Source organism: Homo sapiens, chromosome 15 (assembly GCF_000001405.40).
Source record: "Homo sapiens chromosome 15, GRCh38.p14 Primary Assembly".
Classification (NCBI taxonomy): domain Eukaryota; kingdom Metazoa; phylum Chordata; class Mammalia; order Primates; family Hominidae; genus Homo; species Homo sapiens.
Genome location: NC_000015.10, coordinates 58,864,484 through 58,885,698, shown reverse-complemented (window position 1 = coordinate 58,885,698; position 21,215 = coordinate 58,864,484). Strand labels below are relative to the sequence as shown.

The 21,215-nt window shown below is 46.1% G+C and overlaps 1 protein-coding gene and 2 pseudogenes across 23 annotated transcripts in view, besides 2 other annotated features; 1 reads left to right on the top strand and 2 right to left on the bottom strand.

Moving 5' to 3' along the window:
- Nucleotides 1-6,649, top strand: part of SLTM (SAFB like transcription modulator) — a 54,630-nt gene extending 47,981 nt beyond the window's left edge. For all 23 annotated transcript variants that reach the window (NR_135043.2, NR_135042.2, XM_011522031.3 and 20 more), the window contains 2 exons: nucleotides 1,913-2,073; nucleotides 5,592-6,649. Coding sequence is in view for 21 of the 23 variants with exons in the window: in XM_011522031.3 (XP_011520333.1) it covers nucleotides 1,913-2,073; nucleotides 5,592-5,700 (270 nt within the window). In the remaining 2 variants the exon portion in view is untranslated. The remainder of the gene's footprint in view (nucleotides 1-1,912; nucleotides 2,074-5,591) is intronic.
- Nucleotides 5,081-5,170: an enhancer, noted in NCBI's record as "active region_9479". NCBI's record gives its function as "activates an Ori minimal core promoter by ATAC-STARR-seq in GM12878 lymphoblastoid cells {active_cell/tissue: GM12878}" and the evidence as "EXISTENCE:reporter gene assay evidence [ECO:0000049][PMID:35858748]".
- Nucleotides 7,322-7,522: a silencer, noted in NCBI's record as "peak2357 fragment used in MPRA reporter construct". NCBI's record gives its function as "represses an SCP1 promoter by STARR-seq MPRAs in K562 erythroleukemia cells {active_cell/tissue: K562}" and the evidence as "EXISTENCE:reporter gene assay evidence [ECO:0000049][PMID:32103011]".
- RPL21P14 (ribosomal protein L21 pseudogene 14) lies at nucleotides 15,532-16,080 on the bottom strand (annotated as a pseudogene).
- Nucleotides 20,389-20,890, bottom strand: ZNF444P1 (zinc finger protein 444 pseudogene 1; annotated as a pseudogene).
- Nucleotides 20,891-21,215: the final 325 nt, after the last annotated feature.

The following is a 21,215-nucleotide window of genomic DNA, read 5'->3' as shown; positions in this document are numbered from 1 at the left end:
GATTTTCCTTCCTCAGCCTCCCGATTAGCTGGGACTACAGATGTGCGCCACCACGCCTGGCTAATTTTTGTATTTTTAGTAGAGGCGGGGTTTCACCATGTTGGTCAGGCTGGTTTCAAACTTCCGACCATCCACCTCTGTCTCCCAAAGTGCTGGAATTACAAGCATGAACCATGACGCCCACCTCCTAAAAAGAATTTTTAAGACTGAGTCTATAATCCAAATAAGTCTGCCTTGTTTATAGTAAAATTTAAGTATCAAAGACTAGCCCTCCGCATTCAGAGGTCCTTTTAGAAAATGTGTCCTGAGGAGGAGATCTTGTATCCTCCCTTGAAAATTTTCTTTTTCATAATGTTAGTCTGTAAATTGTTCTGCCAGTATTATATCTAAGCCTCTCTGTGGGTACCTTCTGCTTTCTTTCCTGTAAGCTAAGTATCACAATGCTTGCTTTCTCTTTCCATAGATCTCTAGTTCTACAGTTTCTGTTTCTTTGTGTTTGCTACTCTGTTTTCCATAGTTATGGATGTAGCACCTTGTAAGTGCCATAGCACTAAGTAGTACAATGTAAAATAAGTTCACAACTCCTGTTTGCTGTGCTGTCTGCATGTTGTCCTGATAGGCTGATCATAGGCCCTGCCGTGCCTTGTCTTAAGGTTTTGATCTCTGGCTGTGCCTTCTTACAGTCAATATAAGATCCAAGTATTTGAAATAATCAAGGGTCAAAAAGCCCTTGGGTGCTAGAAAATACAGAAATACAAATTAATGGCCAGGCCTGGTGGCTCGTGGCTGTAAACCTAGCACTTTTGGAGGCCAAGGCGGGAGGATTACTTGAGGCCAAGGGTTCGAGACGAGCTTGGACAATATAGTGAGACCCCCATCTCCATAGGAAAATTAAAATTAAAGATGGGCATGGTGGTGTGCACCCTGTAGTCCCAGCTAGGCAGGAGGCTGAAGCAGGAGAATTGCTTGAGCCCCAGGAGTTCAAAGTTGCAGTGAGTTACGGTAGCAACACTGTACTCCAACCTGGGCAACAGTGTGATCATGTCTCCAAAAAAAAAAATTATTTTTTAAAAAAAGGAATTGGCCAGGTGTGGTGGCTCACACCTGTAATCCCAGCACTTTGGGAGGCCTAGGCGGGCGGATCATGAAGTCAAGAGATCAAGACCATCCTGGCCAACATGGTGAAACCCCGTCTCCACTAAAAATACAAAAATTAGCTGGGCGTGCTGGTGCATACCTGTAGTCCCAGCTACTTGGGAGGCCGAGGCAGGAGAATCGCTTGAATCCGGGGGGCGGAGGTTGCAGTGAGCCGAGATCGCGCCACTGCATTCCAGCCTGGCAACAGAGCGAGACTCTGTCTCAAAAAACAAAACAACAACAACAAAAGTATTAAATCATTTCCTCCATACCCTTCCCTGAGACCTGAGTAGCTTCTCACTACAAAATAGATATAAACTCTTTTCATATGCTGCTGCACTACTCATCCTTTTATCTTCTCAGACATCTTATTAATTTGCTTCTGACATTAAAAGCACACCAATATAAGTTGGTATGAGACCAAGACTGAGGGTATTGTGACTTCTCCTTTTTTTTTTTTTTGAGATGGGGTTTCACTCTTGTTGCCCAAGCTGGAGTGCAATGGCGCAATCTCAGCTCACTGCAACCTCTGCCTCCCGGGTTCAAGTGATTCTCCTGCCCCAGCCTCCTGAGTAGCTGGGATTATAGGTGTGGGGTACCATGCCTGACTAATTTTTTGTATTTTTAGTAGAAACGGGGTTGCACCATGTTAGCCAGGCTGGTCTCGAACTCCTGACCTCAGGTGATCCGCCTGCCTCAGCCTCCCAAAGTGCTGAGATTATAGGTATGAGCCACTGCGCCCGGCCAAGTGACTTTTCATATGCTATTCTTTTAGCACTATCCTGAGGAGCGACATGTGGTTGAACGCCATGGACGGGACACAAGCGGACCAAGGAAAGAGTGGCATGGTCCACCCTCTCAAGGGCCTAGCTATCATGATACGAGGCGAATGGGTGACGGCCGGGCAGGAGCAGGCATGATAACCCAACATTCAAGGTAAATAACTAACCAGTTTTTCTGCCAGCACACAACCAACACTTTATCCTTTCCATAAAAGTCATTATAGTTTCTGAGAGACTGAATTGCAACTACTGAAAACCCTAGATCTGCCTGAACATTTCCCTGTATCAACCCGTAGTCTCCAAAAGAGTGTTTGCAGAACAGCTGATATTAATGTGTTAGTTTGTATTCTTCCTTTTAAATGAATTCAGTGACGTTCTGGCAAGTTGATATAGATATGGGTATGTACGTATGGCAGGATCCAGTAAACAATGAATTCTTTTGTTTTGTTTTGTTTTTTGTTTTTTGAGATGGAGTCTCACTCTGTCGCCCATGCTGGACTGCAGTGGCGAGGTCTTGGCTCACTGCAACCTCCGCCTCCTGGGTTCAAGCAATTCTCTCATCTCAGCCTCCCAAGTAGCTGGGATTACAGGCATGTGCCACCATGCCCAGCTAATTTTTATATTTTTAGTAGAGACAGGGTTTCACCATGTTGCCCAGGCAGGTCTCGAACTCCTGACCTCAGGGGATCCGCCTGCCTTGGCCTCCCAAAGTGCTGAGATTACAGGCGGGAGCCACTGCACTCAGTCTAGATAATGAATCTTAACCTCACATTGGAACCATCATCTTGTTCTCTACCTAGCATTCCTCAAATTCTTAGGAAGAAAATACTGAAAGTGTGTTCTGTTTCCTCCCTTTTAAAATAACTCTTGGGAAGGCTTTTAGACATTTAACACAAAATCTCTTCATACGTTAAGAGGCGAGCTTTACTTTCTCTTCACACTGAGGTCGGATGTGGCCCTTCAGCCAGCAGGTCTTCAGCTTCCCCATCTCTTTCATGTCCTCCTTTCTTTCCCATTCCTCTTTCTTAGGAGAGTTATTGGCTTGACTCAGTGACCCAGGTCACTACTATTCCATGGTCACTTCTACCATCAAACTTCAGTAAGTGTGCTACTTCTGCCTGCACAAGCTCAACATTCATTGTATCTGGTTTGTAAAGGTCACCGATGACTTTTCTCTTGATAAATATAGATTCTTTTATTTTCATGGTTGTCAGACTCCTTGGTGGTTAAACACTGTTTCACACGGTCACTTATCTTTATTTTGAGGGAGTCTGTTTTCTAGGGCACCATCATTTTCTTTCTGCCTTTGTGACTGCCTTTGCAGGCTCCTTCCCGTGGCTAAGCTTTAGACACTGCTGTTTCCTTTCAGCTTCATGTTGCCACTGCCATGTAAGTGCTTTGCTGTTTCCATGAATTCAAGGTCACAGTCAAACTCATTCCTCTCCTTTTTCAAACCTTTGTGTCCCTTTTGTTGCCTCCAGTTTCTTTCAATTTGATAGTGCCACCATCCATTTCATTCACCCTGACTGGAAATACGGGGCTTGTCCTTACCTTTCTTCATTCCTAGTATAAATTTCTAAGTGTGGTTTTTTTTTTTTGAGACAGAGTCTTGCTCTGTCCAGGCTGGAGTGTAGTGGTGCAGTCTCGGCTCGCTGCAACCTCTGCCTCCTGGGTTCAAGTGAATAGCTGGGAATACAGGCGTGCACCACCACGCCCAGCTAATTTTTGTATTTTTAGCAAATGGGGTTTCACCATGTTGGCCAGGCTGGTCTTGAACTCCTGACCTTGTGATCTGCCCACCTCAGCCTTCTAAAGTGCTAGGATTACAGGCATGAGCCACTGCGCCCGGCCGTGTGGCTCTATTTTTTTTTAAATGTTTCTCAGGCTGGGCACAGTGGCTCATGCCTGTAATCCCAGTACTTTGGGAGGCCAAGGTAGGTAGATCACTTGAACTGAGGAGTTTGAGACCAGCCTGGGCAACATGGTAAAACCCTGTCTCTACAAAAAGAAAGTTTATCATAGCTATCCCTTATTCCTCATTTTAGCTTCTATCTGATCTTCCCAATTATTGTGTTCCATTACCCCATTTGTAAATTGAACTGTTGAAACTCCCATTTTATTATACCATTTATTGCTCTAAAACCACAACAAGCAGCTGCTCCAGGTCACAGGATTGAGCCCAGATTCCTCAGCCTGGCCCTTATAATCTAGTTTTATTCTGCCTGAACCATTTCACTGTAGATTTTTTTTTTTTTCCAAGACGAAGTATCTGTCCCCCAAGCTGGAGTGCAGTGGCACTATCTCAGCTCACTGCATCCTCCGCCTCCTGGGTTCACGTGATTCTCCTTCCTTGGCCTCCCAAGTAACTGGGACAACAGCGTGTGCCACCATGTTCAGCTGATTTTTTTGTATTTTTAGTAGAGATGGAGGTTTCACTTTGTTGGCCAGGCTGGTCTCAAACTCCTGTTCCTCAGGTGATCCTCCAGCTTCAGCCTCCCGAAGTGCTGGTATTATAGGTGTGAACCACCACACCCGGCCTTCACTGTAGATTTTTATCTCCTGGTTTGTTAAAGTTTTTTCTTTTTTGAGATGGAGTCTCGCTGTGACACCCAGGCTGGGGTGCATTGGCATGATCTCAGCTCACTGCAACCTCTGCCTCCCGGGTTCAGGCAATTCTCCTTGATCCGCCCGCCTCGGCCTCCCAAAGTGCTGGGATTACAGGCGTGAGCCACTGCGCCCGGCCTGTTAAAGGTTTTTTGTCGGGGGAGGGGGTCTGCTTTTTTGTGTTACTAACATCTGCTCTGTTGCATTACACATAAAGATTCCAGAAATATTCTTAAATGACTTCTATAATTTAGTTCACAAGCTTTAGCAAACAACAGAATCACCTGGAGGGCTTGTTAAAACACAGGTTGGCCGGGCGTGGTGGCTCCTGCCTGTAATTTCAGTACTTTGGGAGGCCAAGGCTGGCAGATCTTTTGAGCCCAGGAGTTCAAGACCAGCCTGGCCAACATGGCGCAACCCTGTCTCTAAGAAAAATAAAAAAAATTAGCTGAGCATGGCGGCACTTGCCTGTAGTCCTAGCTACTCTGGTGGCTGGCTGAAGTGGGAGAATCACCTGAGCCCAGGAAGTCAAGGCTGCTGCAGTGAGCCATGAATGTGCCACTGCACTCCAGCCTCGGTGAAGTGAGTGAGGCCCTGTCTAAAAATATATATATTTAAAAGAACAAACAAAGAAAAGCACAGGTTGCTGGGAGTCCCACCCTCAGTTTCTTTCTCTGTGGTCTGAGATGGGGGTGAGAATTTGCATTTCTAACAGGCACCCAGCTGGTGCTGCTGCTGCTGGTTTGGGGTCCACACTTAAGAGATCTGCTGCTGTAGTCCACGTGCAGATCCACAACTGGCTTCTGAAGTAATGGGGCTTCAAAGTGAGATTGCCCAAGTTCAAATCTCTGCTTCACCATTTTATTAGCTCTGTGACCTTGGAAGAGTTCCTCAACCTCCAGATCTGTTTCTTCAGTAAAGTGGGGTTAGCAATGGTTCAGACCTCACGGGACTGTTGAAAAGAGTAAATGATTTATTTTGGATAAAGTACCAAGAACAGTGCCTGGTATTTGCAGTGATGATTTGTTCTTTGTTCTCTGATGTTTTTTTCTTTTAAACCTTTTTCAGTAACGCATCCCCAATTAATAGAATTGTACAAATCAGTGGCAATTCCATGCCAAGAGGAAGTGGCTCCGGATTTAAGCCATTTAAGGGTGGACCTCCGCGACGATTCTGAAAATGAGCTCTCTGCCAAGGTTTTAAGATAATTTATTGAAATCTCCTGTAAACTTTACTTGACTACTTATGAAGAGGACCTCTGACTTGCTTGAGAGTTCTGTCAGACTTTTCTTTTTAAAAATTTAACATGATTGCTTTTCTCAATTTTGGAGAAGATGTTTAAATAGTTCTGTTGTAACTTTTAATAGTTTTGTGTATCATTCAACTTTTTTTCTTGCAGCACCGAGGCACATTTGAAAAGATGGAATTGAAGTCGTTTTGTTTAACGCTGTGTGAATATAAAGAGTAGTTTGCAGCTGTGTGGTAGTGGTTTAATTTGCAGCCTTAGCTCTGTGGTGTCTGGCTCTAGAGTTACTTCTTTTTACCAAGCATTTTCAGCCTCCATTTTGAAGGCTGTCTACACTTAAGAAGTCTTAGCTGTCTAATTTTTAGAGAATAAGATTGTTCATTGCATTTCTGAGTATTATGTAACCTATTTTTGCAGAAGGTACTGTTACATTAAGTGCATCTGTGTATCCTGGTTTAAAAAAATGTAATCTTTTTTGAAATAAACCTTCATATTCTGTATAGTTGCTAAAGTGTTGAGAACCTTTTTAATTGTAAAATGAGAACCGATTTTCAGTTTAGTGTAGCAGCACACTTGTTCAGGTTTGCATGGTATGAAACCAAATAGATTCATGAAACCTTGGCCATGAGGTTTGTTTCACAAGGTTCTTAGACCGAGTTGTGCAGGTAAGTGCACTTTTAGGTAATCTGCACTGTTTGTTTGATGGATAAATTCCATCTCTGGGAATTGTGTGGGTATTAATGTTTCCATGTTCCCAACTATGTTGAGAAGTGGAAAAAAACCCAGGTTCTAGATGGGTGAATCAGTTGGGTTTTGTAAATACTTGTATGTGGGGAAGACATTGTTGTCTTTTTGTGAAAATAAAAATCCACACCTGGAAGTGTATGTGTCTTTGTTTTCAGCGTTTTAGGTGTTAGTCGTCCAGTTCTTTCTGTAGTTCAGCCCAAGGTGACTGACTAGATATAGAGCTATAAAGGCATTCTTTTGGTCTTTGTTCTTCAGAAATAAATCTAGCTTAGACTCTTCACCTCAGTAGCTGGGCAGCACATGCTGTTCACATGTTAGAGACTTAACCACTAATCCTATGGCTTTTTTAAAGGCATCTCTTTTAGGAAAGCCCTTCAAGGTAAATGCTGCTCTTTCAAAAAAGCTTCCCACATCCCTTTATATAAATCAGTGAAGAAAAATCCAAATGGTCTAGATTTTGGTAAATTCAGCACTCTCTATGCTCAATACGGTCATGCCCATGAGATGGCTCACACTTCTGAGTGCCGTGGGGCAACCAAGGTTCTGTGGTCTCTGGTCCTTTGGGGAACTTCTCTGGATTTCTTACGTTTTCTGCCATTCCCAGTCCTACAGCTGTGGGAGCAGGTTGGGTGTCTGCGTTGGTGTAGGGGAGGTCTACCTCATTTTTGATCACTACGTGTTGTAGAGTGGCACAGGAGAAGCCTCAGTATCCATTGGAGTGAATGTTGGTGACTTTGGGTTAGAATGTCACTTCTCGTTGTTTCCTCATTTGTAGAGTGGGACTGTGCTTCTTAGAAGGGATTATCATACAGCTGCAAACACTGGCTAAGCGCTTTACGTGCTGGGCAATGTGCTAAGCGTTTGACATATGTTCCCTTGCCTAATACTCAGAAGAATCCTCCTAGCCACAGGTAGAATTACTGACCTGACCAGTTTTCAGATGGGAATCTGGATAGTAACCTGCCTTTTAAACATTAGATCCTTGATTTGTTTCAGTCTTTTCTACACTTATACTGAAGGGTACAAGCCTACAGACACTATAGGTAATTATTTTTTACTCGAGTTGCCATGGCGATGGCTTTAAGTTCAGAAAAGCTGACAAAACCACCTGATATGCTGGCATTGAGGTTGAGTGGCCCTCAACCATCATGGGCAGCAGCTAGCAGCGATCTGGCTGGCTCAGGGTCAACAGTGAAAACCAAATTTGGAGGTTTTTGTTTTGTTTTGTTTTTGTTTTTGAGACAGAGTCTAGCTCTCACCCAGGCTGGAGTATAGTGGCACGATCTCGGCTCACTGCAACCTCCGCCTCCTGGGTTCAAGCGATTCTCCTGCCCCAGCCTCCCGAGTAGCTGGGATTACAGGTGCCAGTCACCACGCCCAGCTATTTTTTTGTATTTTTAGTAGAGACGGGGTTTCACTATGTTGGCCAGGCTGGTCTCGAACTCTTGACCTCATGATCTGCCTGCCTCAGCCGCCTAAAGTGCTGTGATTACAAGCGTGAGCCACCACGCCTGGCCTATTTAGAGGTTTTGTTGTTGTTTTGAGGTGGAGTCTCACTCTGTCTCCCAGGCTGGAGTGCAGTGGCACAATCTTGGCTCACTGCAACCTCTGCCTCTCGGGTTCAAGCAATTCCCCTGCCTCAGCCTCCCAAGTAGCTGGGATTACAGGTGCCTGCCACCACGCCCGGCTAATTTTTTCTATTTTTAGTAGAGACGGGGTTTCACCATGTTGGTCAGGCTGGTCTTGAACTCCTAACTTCATGATCCACGAAGGAAGACAGATTCTTCAAAGCCAAGAGAATGGAGGAAAATGTGCCATTCCCCGTGTGCTTGATGCGTAATCCAAATGTTTCGCCACAGGACAATGGCATCAATGAGTCAGAAGCTACAGACAGCTCATATGATGCAAAAAAGATTCAAGAAAGATAGTAGCCAGTCTTGGTAAGTTGGGCAAGATGCTGACGTCAGAAACTACACATGCCAAAAATAATTGTAAAATAAAATTAAAAGCTTAGGAATTACATAGAAAAAATCTCAAGCTCTTAAATGTATGAAGTAATGAAAACATTTAAAACCTTTCTGCCTGGATTGTCAGTTAACTCAGTTCCTCCATACTTAACAGGTCCTAACAAATACTGAATCCTCATTGAAAAAATTGTCAGATTTTTTGCATTTATAAAGAACCTCATCCAATCCATCTAACTAAAGATGAATCTCTTACAATACCTCCAATAACTGCTTAATTAGCATTTCTGTCAAACACCTCAAATTTACCATGTGTAGTTACCCCCAAAAACTCATCCTCTCAAATATTTAATCACCACCTTCAACTCAGTAAGGGCATTGTAGGTAAAATTAATAATATCCCCTAAAACGCACCACTCAACAAATACTGTTTATTTTTATCTGAAACAAATTGTTTCCTGAAATCCTTTAAGTGCTTCCTACAGATAAGCCTTTATCTTTCCTTTCTCTTTCCTTTTGACTTAGCTATTCCAGCCAGGCCTGAGGGGCAGGTATCATCTAGTTAATGTTCACCTACATACTCTGTACCAAAATCACCAATATCTATGTCTTCACCGCTGCCCCTCTTACATTTTTCTCTGAGAAGACCAACTTCCCCTCCAAGCCCTCTAATGTCTCTTCATCTGTAGAATACATTCAGTCTGTCACCTCATTTCCTACTACTCTCCTCCTTGTTCACCTGGTTCCACACTGGCCTCGTCCCGTGTGTTGACCACAGCATCTCATCTCAAGCCTTTTGCTTGTGCTCACTCCTTCATCTGAAACGCTCTTCCTCAGATAGCCATGTGGGCTCGCTCCCTCATTGCTTCAGTTCTTAGCTAAAATGTCATTTTCTCAACCATGCCTTCCCGATTTTATTTAAAATTGCCACACTTAGGCTGGGTGCAGTGGCTCATGCCTGTAATCCCAGCACTTTGTGAGGCAGAGGTGGGCGGATCACCTGAGGTCAGCAGTTTGAGACCAGCCTGGCCAACATGGTGAAACCCCATCTCTACTAAAATTACAAAAAAATTAGCCGGGCATGGTGGTGGGCGCCTGTAATCCCAGCTGAGGCTTAGGCAGGAGAATTGCTTGAACCCGGGAGGCGGAGGTTGCAGTGAGCCAAGATGGTGCAATTGCAGTCCAGCCTGCATGACAAGAGCAAGACTCCCATCTCAAAATAAAATAAAATTGCCACACTTATTCCCTTTCTCAGCATTCCCCCTCCTTCCCATCTAACCTATTTATAATCCATCTTCTCCTACTTCATGTAAGCTCCAGAAGGACAGCTGTTTTTGTCTATTTTTTCTTTTCACTGCTGTATCCCTGACGCCTGGCTCTTAGTAGCCACTCAATAAATATTGGATGAATAAATAACCATGTGAAGGATTCAGAATTTTTATAATAGGGACTTAGGGAAAGCAATCTGGTTGGAATGGGGGAGCCTGGGCTTTGTCTTGAAGTTGGTGTAACATTGGTGTAGCATTGCTGTAGCAAACACACTTTTTTAAGGCTGAATACTTAAGCCACCCCATTGGTGCAGCCATCAGTAAGAAATGGGATTGTTTAGGGACAGGTTGCCCAGACCAGCATCTCTAAGCCTGGAATTCATACTGTCTGAGGTGAGATGCCTGCCCCAGGCATAAACATTAGCCATGAAGTCATCTTGGCTCCATGCTCACCATGTATATAGTTTCCCACCTGGATTTGCCAACAGGGTTAGGAAATGAGTATGAAATCTACTCACTGGTTAAATTTTCATCAGTTTATGAGACAGCCCATCAAAAGCTCAAGCAATAACCTTTCATTTGGACAGAGACAGTTTTCCTTCTCTTTTTTTTTTTTGAGATGGTATCTCACTGTCTCCCAGGCTGGAGTGCAATGGCATAATCTCAGTTCACTGCAACCTCTGCCTCCCAGATTCAAGTGATTCTTATGCCTCAGCCTCTCAAGTAGCTGGGATTACAAGGCACCTGCCATCACACCTAGCTAATTTTTGTATCTTTAGTAAAGATGGAGTTTCACTATGTTGGCCAGGCTGGTGTCAAACTCCTGACCTCAAGCGATCTGCTCTCCTCGGCATCTTAAAGTGCTGGGACTACATGGTGTGAGCCACCATGCCCTGCCCCTTCTCTCAATAAATCTAGTGATGTCCATCAAACTATAAAATTAATTTCCTCACCACATTTCAGGCATTTGGAAGGTGGATTGCAGGAGAAATGGGTCAGATACCATGACAAGAAATGGTGCATCCCTCAAGGACATGGTAATATAAGGCTAAAAATTCTAAGGAATTCTGATCCAATGAACTAACACCCTAATTTTCTAAAATTACCAAATTATCTGTTAGCTTCTTTAATGACTTTATTTCCTATGGATCTGCCATCCTAGGCCTCTGGACAGGTAGCCTGCTAGGATTTGCTTCACCTGGTTGACAGCTCACTCCCTCTGAACTACTCAAAGAACAATCAAATTTATTAGATAACATGGTACTACAGGGAAGGCCCTTGCAGCTGGGACAACGTGCAGGGGCATCCAGTCTAGAAACCATAGGCTTCAGAATGTAGAGGAATAAGGACTCAAAAACCAGTCTGCCATTTACTAGATGTGTTCAATTATGGGCAATTTATCTGTATGTCCAGAATACTATAGTCAACTTTACTAGTAGGAACAGGGCTATTGTAAGGGTTTAAGTGGGAAAATATGTGTCAAATACTGAACAAATTCTGCCCATTGTTTTTCTTGTTCTTGCAAAGTCACCTTGTGTTCCCTGATTTAAGACAAAAGAGACAACCTCATTTGTAAAAGGTCGCTGATCAAATAGAGAATTAGGCAGGGCGTGGTGGCTCATGCCTGTAATCCCAGCACTTTGGGAGGCCGAGACGGGTGGATCACCTGAGGTCAGGAGTTCAAGACCAGCCTGGCCAACACAGTGAAGCCCTGTCTCTACTAAAAGTACAAAAATTAGCCGGGCATGGCTGTGTGCACCTGTAGTCGCAGCTACTCAGGAGGCTGAGGCAGGAGAATCGCTTGAACCAGGGAGACAGAGGTTGCAGTGAGCTGAGATCATGCCACTGCACTCCAGCCTGGGAGACAGAGTGAGACTCCGACTCAAAAAAAAAAAAAAAGTAAAAATAAAAACAAGATAATTGGCCGGGTGTGGTGGCTCACGCCTGTAATCCCAGAACGTTGGGAGGCTGAGGCGGGAGGATCATGAGGTCAGGAATTCAAGACCAGCCTGACCAATATGGTGAAACCCCATCTCTACTAAAAATACAAAAATTAGCTGGGCGTGGTGGCGGGCGCCTGTAATCCCAGCTACTGGGGAGGCTGAGGCAGGAGAATTGCTTGAACCCGGAAGGCGGAGGTTGCAGTGAGCCGAAATCGTGCCATTGCACTCCATCCCGGGTGACAGAGTGCAACTGTCTCAAAAAGAAAAGATAATTGAACTGGCATATATGCTAAGTGGACAAAATCTGAGGTCTAATGGGTGATGAGCCTGGGCCACACCCCCAGAGGTTCATGGATGGAGTCCCAACATGTTTTACCCCCAAAAGTTCCTCCACAGGATTCACATGTACAGCAAGTTTTGACAATCACTCTGGAGATGTAGCTCAGAGTAGGAAAAACCAAATGCTTTTTACAAGCTGCTGGCAATCAACTCTGGGTTTTTGCCAGTGGGATGAGATGCTCTGAATAATGTAATTTTGTGGTTAAATGATCAGTTCCTCTGTAGAGCTGAATCACCCAGGGTGGGAGTGGAGGACCTCTGCATCACCTTTAGGAACTTGGGTCCAGAGCTTTCAGAACTGTCCTGCTTGCCGGGCATGGTGGCTCATGCCTCTAATCTCAGCACTTTGGGAGACTGGGGTGGGAGGATCACTTGAGGCTAGTTTAAGACCAGCCTGGGCCAAATAGTGAAACCCCGTCTCTTTAAAAACAAAAACAAAACCGAACTGCTTTGGTTAAGCTGTGAAATATTAATATTATGTATTATTTAGATAAGTAATACTTTGTTTTCATTATACTAAGTAGAGAATTCTATTTAAGTAGAGAATCACCTTTGAAAGAAGTGTAAGAGGTCAGGCGCGGTGGTTCACGCCTGTAATCCCAGCACTTTGGGAGGCTGAGGTGAGTGGATCACGAGGTCAGGAGTTCAAGACCAGCCTGGCCAAGACGGTGAAACCCTGTCTCTACTAAAAATACAAAAATTAGCTGGGTGTGGTGGCAGGCACCTATAATCCCAGCTACTCAGGAGGCTGAGGCAGAGAACTGCGTGAACCCTGGAGGCGGAGGTTGCAGTGAGCCGAGATTGCACCACTGCACTCCAGAATGGGCAACAGAGCGAGACTCCGTCTTAAAAAAGAAAGAAAGGAGTGTATCAAGAGTCTCATTTTGCATCAACTAAAATTTTCATTCACTAAGCAAAAATATTACACTTTCTATTTTACACACTGTTTAACTATTTTTTTCAAGTAAATTTTATCTTATCTGCTTTTTTTTTTTTTTTTGAGATGACATCTCGCTCTGTCACCCAGACTGGAGTATAATGGCACAATCTTGGCTCACTGCAACCTCTGCCTCCTGGGTTCAAGTGATTCTCCTGCCTCAGTCTCCTGAGTGGCTGGGATTACAAGTGCCTGCCACCACGCCCAGCTAATTTTTATATTTTTAATAGAGACAGAGTTTCACCATGTTGGCCAGGATGGTCTCGATCTCTTGACCTCGTGATCCGCCTGCCTTGGCCTCCCAAAGTGCTGGGATTACAGGTGTAAGCCACCGCGCCTGGCCTGCTTGACTATTTTTAAAATTTAAACACAAAAACTCCAAGTGGTCACATAGAATGACAAAAGTAAAGTTAACTCAAATTCTAGTTTTCAGTGCATAGGTTTTACATCTACCTCTAGTATTTTGTTTGATGCTATTATAAATGGACCTGTTGAATTTCAATTTTCAATTGTCCATTGCTAGCATACAGAAACAAAAGTATTTTGAAGTAAAATTTACAAATAGGCACACATTTTAAGTGTACAGTACATTGACAAATGTATACAGCCAAGTCATTACCACCATGATCAAGAATATTTCCATCACTGAAAGTTTCCTTGTGTCCTTTTCTGGTCATCCTAAACCACATCTCCAGCCCCAGGCAACCACCTACCTGCTTTCTACCACTGGAGACTTTATGTCTCCTAGAGTTTCATATAAACAGGATCATACAGTAATGTCTTATTTTGTGTCTGGTTCCTTTCACTCAGCACAGTGTTTCTGCAATTCAGCCATGTTGCTGTGTGTATCAGTCATTCCATCTTTTTGTTGCTGTGTAGGTTTCCCATGTACGGATGTACCACATTTTTTTGTGCATTCGCCTATTGATGGAAATTTGGGTTGTTGACAATTTTTGGCTATTATGAATAAAACTGCTATGAATATTTGTGTACAAGTCTTTGTGTGGACACGTTTTCATTTCTCTTGGGTAAACAGGATTGGATATATGGTAGTGTATATTTAACATTACAGGAAACTGCCAAAGAGTTTTCTGAAATCGTTGTACCTTTTTGCATCAGCAATGTAACGGGTTCAAATTGATTCACAGATGCACCAACACTTGGTATTGTCAATCTTTTCAATGCTAGCCTTTTTTAGTGGGTGTGCTGTACTATTTCAGTACAGTTCAATGTAGTTTTGTTTGTTTTAGTTTTTGAGATGGAGTTTTGAGCTTGTTGTCCAGGCTGGAGTGCAATGGCACGATCTCGGCTCACTGCAACCTCCACCTCCTGGGTTCAAGTTATTCTCCTGCCTCAGCCTCCTGAATAGCTGGGACTACAGGCACGTGCCACCATGCCCAACTAATTTTTTGTATTTTTAGTACAGACGGGGTTTCACCATGTTGGTGAGGCCAACTCCTGACCTCAGGTGATCCACCGGCCTTGGCCTCCCAAAGTGCTGGGATTACAGGCATGAGCCGCCGTGCCCGGCCCAAATGTGTTTACGTGTTCTTCTGACTAACGATGTTGTACATGTTTTTATGTGCTTATTGACCATTAATATATCTTCCTTTGTGAATTATTATTATTATTACTATTATTATTATTATTATTATTATTTGAGACGGAGTCTCACACTGTTGGCCAGGCTGGAGAGCAAGGGCACGATCTCGGCTCACTGCAACCTCCGCCTCCTGGGTTCAAGCGATTCTCCTGCCTCAGCCTCCCAAGTAGCTGGGATTACAGGTGCCCGCCACCACACCCGGCTAATTTTTTTTTTTTGTATTTTTTAGTAGAGATGGGGTTTCACTATGTTGGCCAGGCTGGTCTCAAACTCCTGACCTCGTGATCTGCCCACCTTAGCCTCCTAAAGTGCTGAGATTACAGGCGTGAGCCACCGCACCCAGCCATGAATTATTTATTTAAATCTTCATGTTTTAACATTTTTGTAAATTATTTATTTCTTCCATGATGATTTAGAGAGACTATCTTCAAGCCAGTACAAATATTTCATAAATGGTATGTGGCCGTTTTCTAACCAGTTGAGTAATTTGTTGCACAATAAGCCACCTCACATCTTTCAGCAAGAAATACATTAAATTTGAATAGTAAAGACATTACACACTGAATTAGGACACAACTAAAATTTGCTTTAAATATTTCTTTGGGGGAGAGGACAGCACCCTCTACTCAATAAAGACAAACTTTTTTTTTTTTTTTTGAGACAGAGTTTTGCTCTTGTTGCCCAAGCTGGAGTGCAATGGCGTGATCTCGGCCCACTACAACCTCCACCTCCTGGGTTCAAGCAATTCTCCTGCCTCAGCCTCCCGAGTAGCTGGGATTACAGGTGCCTACCACCGCACCTGGCTAATTTTGTATTTTTAGTAGCAACGGGGTTTCTCCATGCTGGTCAGGCTGGTCTCGAACTCCCGACTTCAGGTGATCCGCCCGCCTCAGCCTTCCAAAGTGCTGGGATTACAGGCGTGAGCCACCATGCCCCGCCAAGAGAAACATTTTTTACAGTGCAGAGGTCTTTTATTTTTTTAAAACACCTATTATGCTATGAATTTGTAGGGAAGAGGTTCCAGCAGCTCAGACTCCTTCCCATTGGTTCTCACAAAGTGTGCTTCTCTGGGTAGAGGCTGCTGCTTCAGTTGAACCCAGGTAGCTTTCTCTTTGGCTTCTTTCTTTTTCTGATCATTTTCCTTCACATGTTTCAGGAAGCTATCTCGGCTCTTAGAGTGCTTAATGTGCTCAATACACACATTAATTCTCTTGGCAAGAATCTTGCCCTTAACTGTTTGTTTACAACAGTGTCAACAGCATGCTGGGTAACATTGTAGACTCTTCCAGTTTAGCCGTGGTAACACTTGTGGGGTATTCCTTTTTGAACAGTACCCATTCCCTTGATGTCTACAATATCACCTTTCTTATAGATTCGCATATATGTGGCCAAAGGAACAACTTCATGTTTACTAAAAGACCTAGAGAACATATATTGGGTGCCTCTCCCCTTTCCCTTTGTGTTCGTCATTTTGGCGAATTACTGGAAGATGGCGGTTCCGGCCGAAAGGTTTACTCCATCTTTAATTGTGTTTTTAGATTTCGATGAAGTGGGCTGGGCGCAGTGGCCAGGAGTTCGAGACCAGCCTGTCCAACAGGGTGAAACCCCATGTCTACTAAAAACACAAAAATTAGCTGGGTGTGGTGGTGCACACCTGTAGTCCCAGATGCTCGGGAGGCTGAGGCAGGAGAATCGCTTGAACCCAGGAGGCAGAGGTAGTAGTCAGCCGAGATCTTGCCACTGCACTCCAGCCTGGGCGACAAACCAAGACTCCGTCTCCAAAAAAAAAAAAAGAAAAAAAAGAAAAAAATCCATTTCTAGTTAACTTATGTATGGCATAAATTAAGGATTAAGGTTCATTTTTATCTATATGTGTACCAGTGCATTCTCACATTACTATAAAATAACTGAGACTGGGTCGTTTATAAAGAAAAGAGGTTTACTTGGCTTATAGTTCTGCAGGCTGTACGGGGAAGCATAGAGGCTTCCACTTCTGGGGAGGCCTCAGAAAATTTACAATCATGGCGGAAGGCGAAGGGGAAGCAGGCACATACCACATGGCCAGAACAAGAGCAAGAGAGCGAAGTGGGGAGGTGCCACACACTTTTAAACAACCACATCTTATGAGAACTGTATCACAAGAACAGCACCAAGAGGATGGTGTTACACCATTCATGAAAGATCCATTCCCATGATCCAGTCACCTCCCAGCAGGCCCCACCTCTGGAGATTACATTTTCACATAAGATTTGGTGGGGACACAGACCCAAACCATATTAATATGGATATCCACTTTTTTCAGTATTATTTGTTGAAAATACTTATTTTCCTGGCCAGGCATGGTGGCTCATGCCTGTAATTCCAGCACTCTGGGAGGTTGAGTTGGGTGGATCGCTTGAGGTTAGGAGTTTGAAACCAGCCTGGCCAACACGGTGAAACCCAAACCAGCCTGGCCAACATGGTGAAACTCCGTCTGTAGTAAAAATTCAAAAATTAGCCAGGCGTGGTGGCGGCCCCCTGTACTCCCATATACTTTGGAGGCTGAGGCAGGGAAAATTGCTTGAACCGGGGAGGCGGAGGTTGTAGTGAGCCGAGATCGCACCACTGCACTCCTGCCTAGGCGACAGCACGAGACTCTGTCTCAAAACAAAACAAAACAAAACAAAACAAAAAAACAAAAAAGAGTATTGAATCTGTCAATCCATAATTAGTGTCTCTCTTCATTTAGTAGACCATAGGCCTTCATTAATATCTCTCAGTAATGTGTTATAATTTTCATTGTATAGGTCTGACACATTTTTCTCTAACTCTCACTGCATCCCAAATGGAAGGGATTGGTTTTATTTTGCAAGATATATACATTAAAAGTGATATATACATTAAAAGCAACAATAACTACCAAGTGTACTTTTACCATCTTTTCCTAAAAGGACATTTTAATGCCAAAGAAACAGATGGCATGAGGTCAGAGCAGTAACAGTGGCTGAAATCTACCTATTTGGCACCCACGCCGGCTCCTGTTCTGAGGAGTCACGAAAACTGGAAAGGCAGTAACCCTGAGGCCGACAAATTCCATGTTAGTTCTATTCCACCTCCAGTTCACCCTGTATTCCTCTCATCTCTATGGCAGACAGAATAATGGCCCAAAGACATACATGGCCTGATCCCCAGAACCTGCCACATGCTGTCTCACAGGCCAACAGGGACTCTGCAGACGGGAAGGAATTAAGCATTGACACGGGGAAACTATCCTAAATTTTCCTGATGGGCTCAATGTCATCACAGGCATCCTATGAAGTGACCACAGGACCTAAGAGGGTCAAGGTCAGAGGAGAGATAGGGAGACGGAAGCAGAAGTTGGAGTGCAGCACTCTGAGGACAGAGGAAGAGCCATGAGCCGAGGAATGCAGGCAGCCTCTAGGACCTGGAAAAGGCAGGAAACGGATTCTCCTCTAGAGCCTCAGGAAGGAACGTGGCTCTGCAAACACCTTGATTTTGGGCGGTGAGACCCATTTTGGACTTCTGACCTCCAGAACGATAACAGATGTGCGTTATTTGTAAGCTGCTGGGTTTGTGGTGATTTGTTACAACCCACTTTAGGGAACACTGACCCGGAAGGAGGGTGAGGATAGAGAAGCCAGAGTCAGCACAGAGGTGCTGGGAGGCGGGAGCAGAGGAGGGGCGAGCTGTATCCCAGACAGTAAGAGGGGAGAGTGTTTGGGGGCTGGTCAGGCTGCATAAGAAGGCAGAGGGACAAGGCCACTGAGTTGGGTGGCGCAGAAGCCAAGTGGCAGCCTTGACAGGAGCTGTTCCCTCTGGAAGAAAGGAAGGACCCCCGGCTGCTGTGGACTGAAGGCTTTTGCTCGCTTTGCCTCACCTAGATGCCCCCTTTCTGCTGCTACATCCCAGCACCCAGCAGGCACTCGGTACACACCTACGATGAACACCCGACTGCTCTGACTCTTCACCCTCCCACCACTGGTGACTCCAGCCTCACTGCTAACACTCCCTTACTCACGGGCCCCTCTGCTGCTCGAGGCGCCTCAGGGCCTTTGCACTGGCTGTTCCCGTGGCCTGGACCACTCTTCTCAGAGGTCTCTGCGTGGCTGCCCGCTGCTCATCACCCAGGCCCCACACAGCCCCCACCGGGCACGTGAGAGTGTCAGGTATTGAAAGGACAATATTTTGAAGACATTAGGGTCAACGAGCAGATTATCAAAACTAAATTCACCTGTTTCTTTTCACTTTTTTTTTTTTTTTTTTTTTTGAGACGGAGTCTCGCTCTGTCGCCCAGGCTGGTGTGCAGTGGCGCGATCTCTGCTCACTGCAAGCTCCGCCTCCCGGGTTCCCACCATTCTCCTGCCTCAGCCTCCCAAGTAGCTGGGACTACAGGCGCCCGCCACCACGCCTGGCTAATTTTTTTGTATTTTTAGTAGAGACGGGGTTTCAACCTGTTTAGCCAGGATGGTCTCGATCTCCTGACCTTGTGATCCGCCCGCCTCGGCCTCCCAAAATGCTGGGATTACAGGCGTGAGCCACCGCGCCCGGCCTCTTTTCACTTTTTTTAACGTGGCGACTAGAACACGTAAGATGGCGTCTGCGGTTCACCTTACACATCCTCCCTGGAGAGCGTACTCTAAACCAGGATGCAAGCTTCCCCTACAGGGCAAGACAGGAAATGCTTCCAGCTTCTCAGGCTCTCTGTCATAGTCACGGTGGCAAGAGTCAGCCACAGATGACGTAAGTGAATGGGTGTGGCTGTGCACCAAGACTTCACAAACACAGTTGCTGGGCTGGGCTGGGCGGGCCCCAGACAGTGAGTCGGCCCATACCTGCTGTGTGAAAGAATCCAAACCTGGGGCCGGGCGCGGTGGCTCACACCTGTAATCCCAGCACTTCGGCAGGCCAAGATTAGGCGGATCACCTGAGGTCAGGAGTTCGAGACCAGCCTGGCCAACAATGGTGAAACCCCATTTCTACTAAAAATACAAAAAATTAGCTGGGCATGGTGGCGGGCGCCTGTAATCCCAGCTACTCAGGAGGCTGAGGCAGGAGAATCACTTGAACCTGGGAGGCGGAGGTTGCAGTGAGTCGAGATAGCGCCACTGCACTCCAGCCTGGGCAACAAGAGCGAAACTCTGTCTCAAAAAAAAAAAAAAAGAAAAAAAAAAGAAATAATAAAAAAAGAAGAATCCAAACCTGCCCAGAGAGAGGCCTGGCTTTTGCCCTCCGCCCTCGGGAAGTCATCTCTGAGCCCTTGGTGTCTCGCGCATGAGGAGGGTCTGACTGCCTGGGGCCCTCAGGCCAGCCCGACAGCAAGATGGATTTGGGGTGGAGTTTGGGCCAGGTGGTATCCTTGAGCTTCCGGGGCTGGAGGCTGAGGTCAGCCACACAGATCGGGGAGGAGTCCCCAGTAAGAACCCGGGACACCAAGATCTGAGGAGGGTCCCTGGCTGGCAACACTCCCTGCGTGCCGGGAGGAGTGAAGGGAGAGGACAGCTGATAACTGGTCTCCGTGGAGCCTTCCGGGCCCTCTTCCTGGCTGCTTCCAGCGCGTCCTTCTCTGTGATAAGCCGTGACTGTGAACATGGCTGTGAGTCCTTCTAGAGAACTCGCAAGTATGCCAAGGTCTTGGGGGCCCTACTGACTTGCAGCTGGTGTTGGATGGAGCCCCACATGGACTGTCCCTCCTTGCTGCGCCATGGCCTCCCCACCGTGGGTCACACTGGTTTTCGGGGGCTAAGCAGCGGTTTTCCCTCCGCTTCCTCCTGGCTTCCCCGCTCCCCTGCCTCCTCCCCTCCCCCGTCGCAGCCCCGTCAGGCTCACCCAGAACTCTTCCAGCAGGGCCACCGCCTCCTCCCAGCTTAGCGGCTGACGGCTGCACACCCAGGCCTGCGTGTCGGCTGGCAGCGCGCTCAGAAACTGCTCCAGCACCAGCAGCTCCAGCATCTGCTCCTTGGTGTGCACCTCGGGCCGCAGCCGGTCCCGGCACAGGGCGCGTAGCAGCCCCAGCGCCTCGTGCGGGCCCGGCGCCTCGCCCAGGTGGAAGCGGCGGAAGCGGTGCCACGAGGAGCCCAGCGCCAGGCCCTCGGCCTCCTGCTTCAGCGGCACCGTCAGCTCCATGGGGCCTCCTGGACGGCAGCGCCTGCCCCGCGTGGCCCAGGGTGCAAAGAGGTCTCTGTGAGGGGCGGCGCTCACTCGGGCGGTGAGGAAAGGGTGTCTGTCTCGTGGGATCCCACGGAGTCAAGTGCCGGCTCTGCCCCTCGTTGGGCCCCTTCCGCGGCTTCTGTACCTCAGTCCTGCAGCTCCTCCCGCAGCCTGTCCTACAGCACAAAGGCTCTGGAGCAAATTCCAGCTCTGCCTCCCACCAGCTCTGTGTCCTTGGACAAGGTACAAGGCACCTTTTGTAATACACTGTCTCTCCATGTCCTTGGCTCACTCTCTCAGGCGAGGCCTCCCAAGCCTCTTTACCTCCGCGCACATGTGCACAGAGCTCACCGGAACTCCTCTTACACATTTTTGATTATTCGTTGCTGGTACCTAGAAATACTATTTTTGTGTATTGATCCTTCTAGCCAGTGACTTTGCAGAATTTACTTATTAATTCTAGTAGCTTTACTTTAGATGACTTAGGGTTTTCCATGT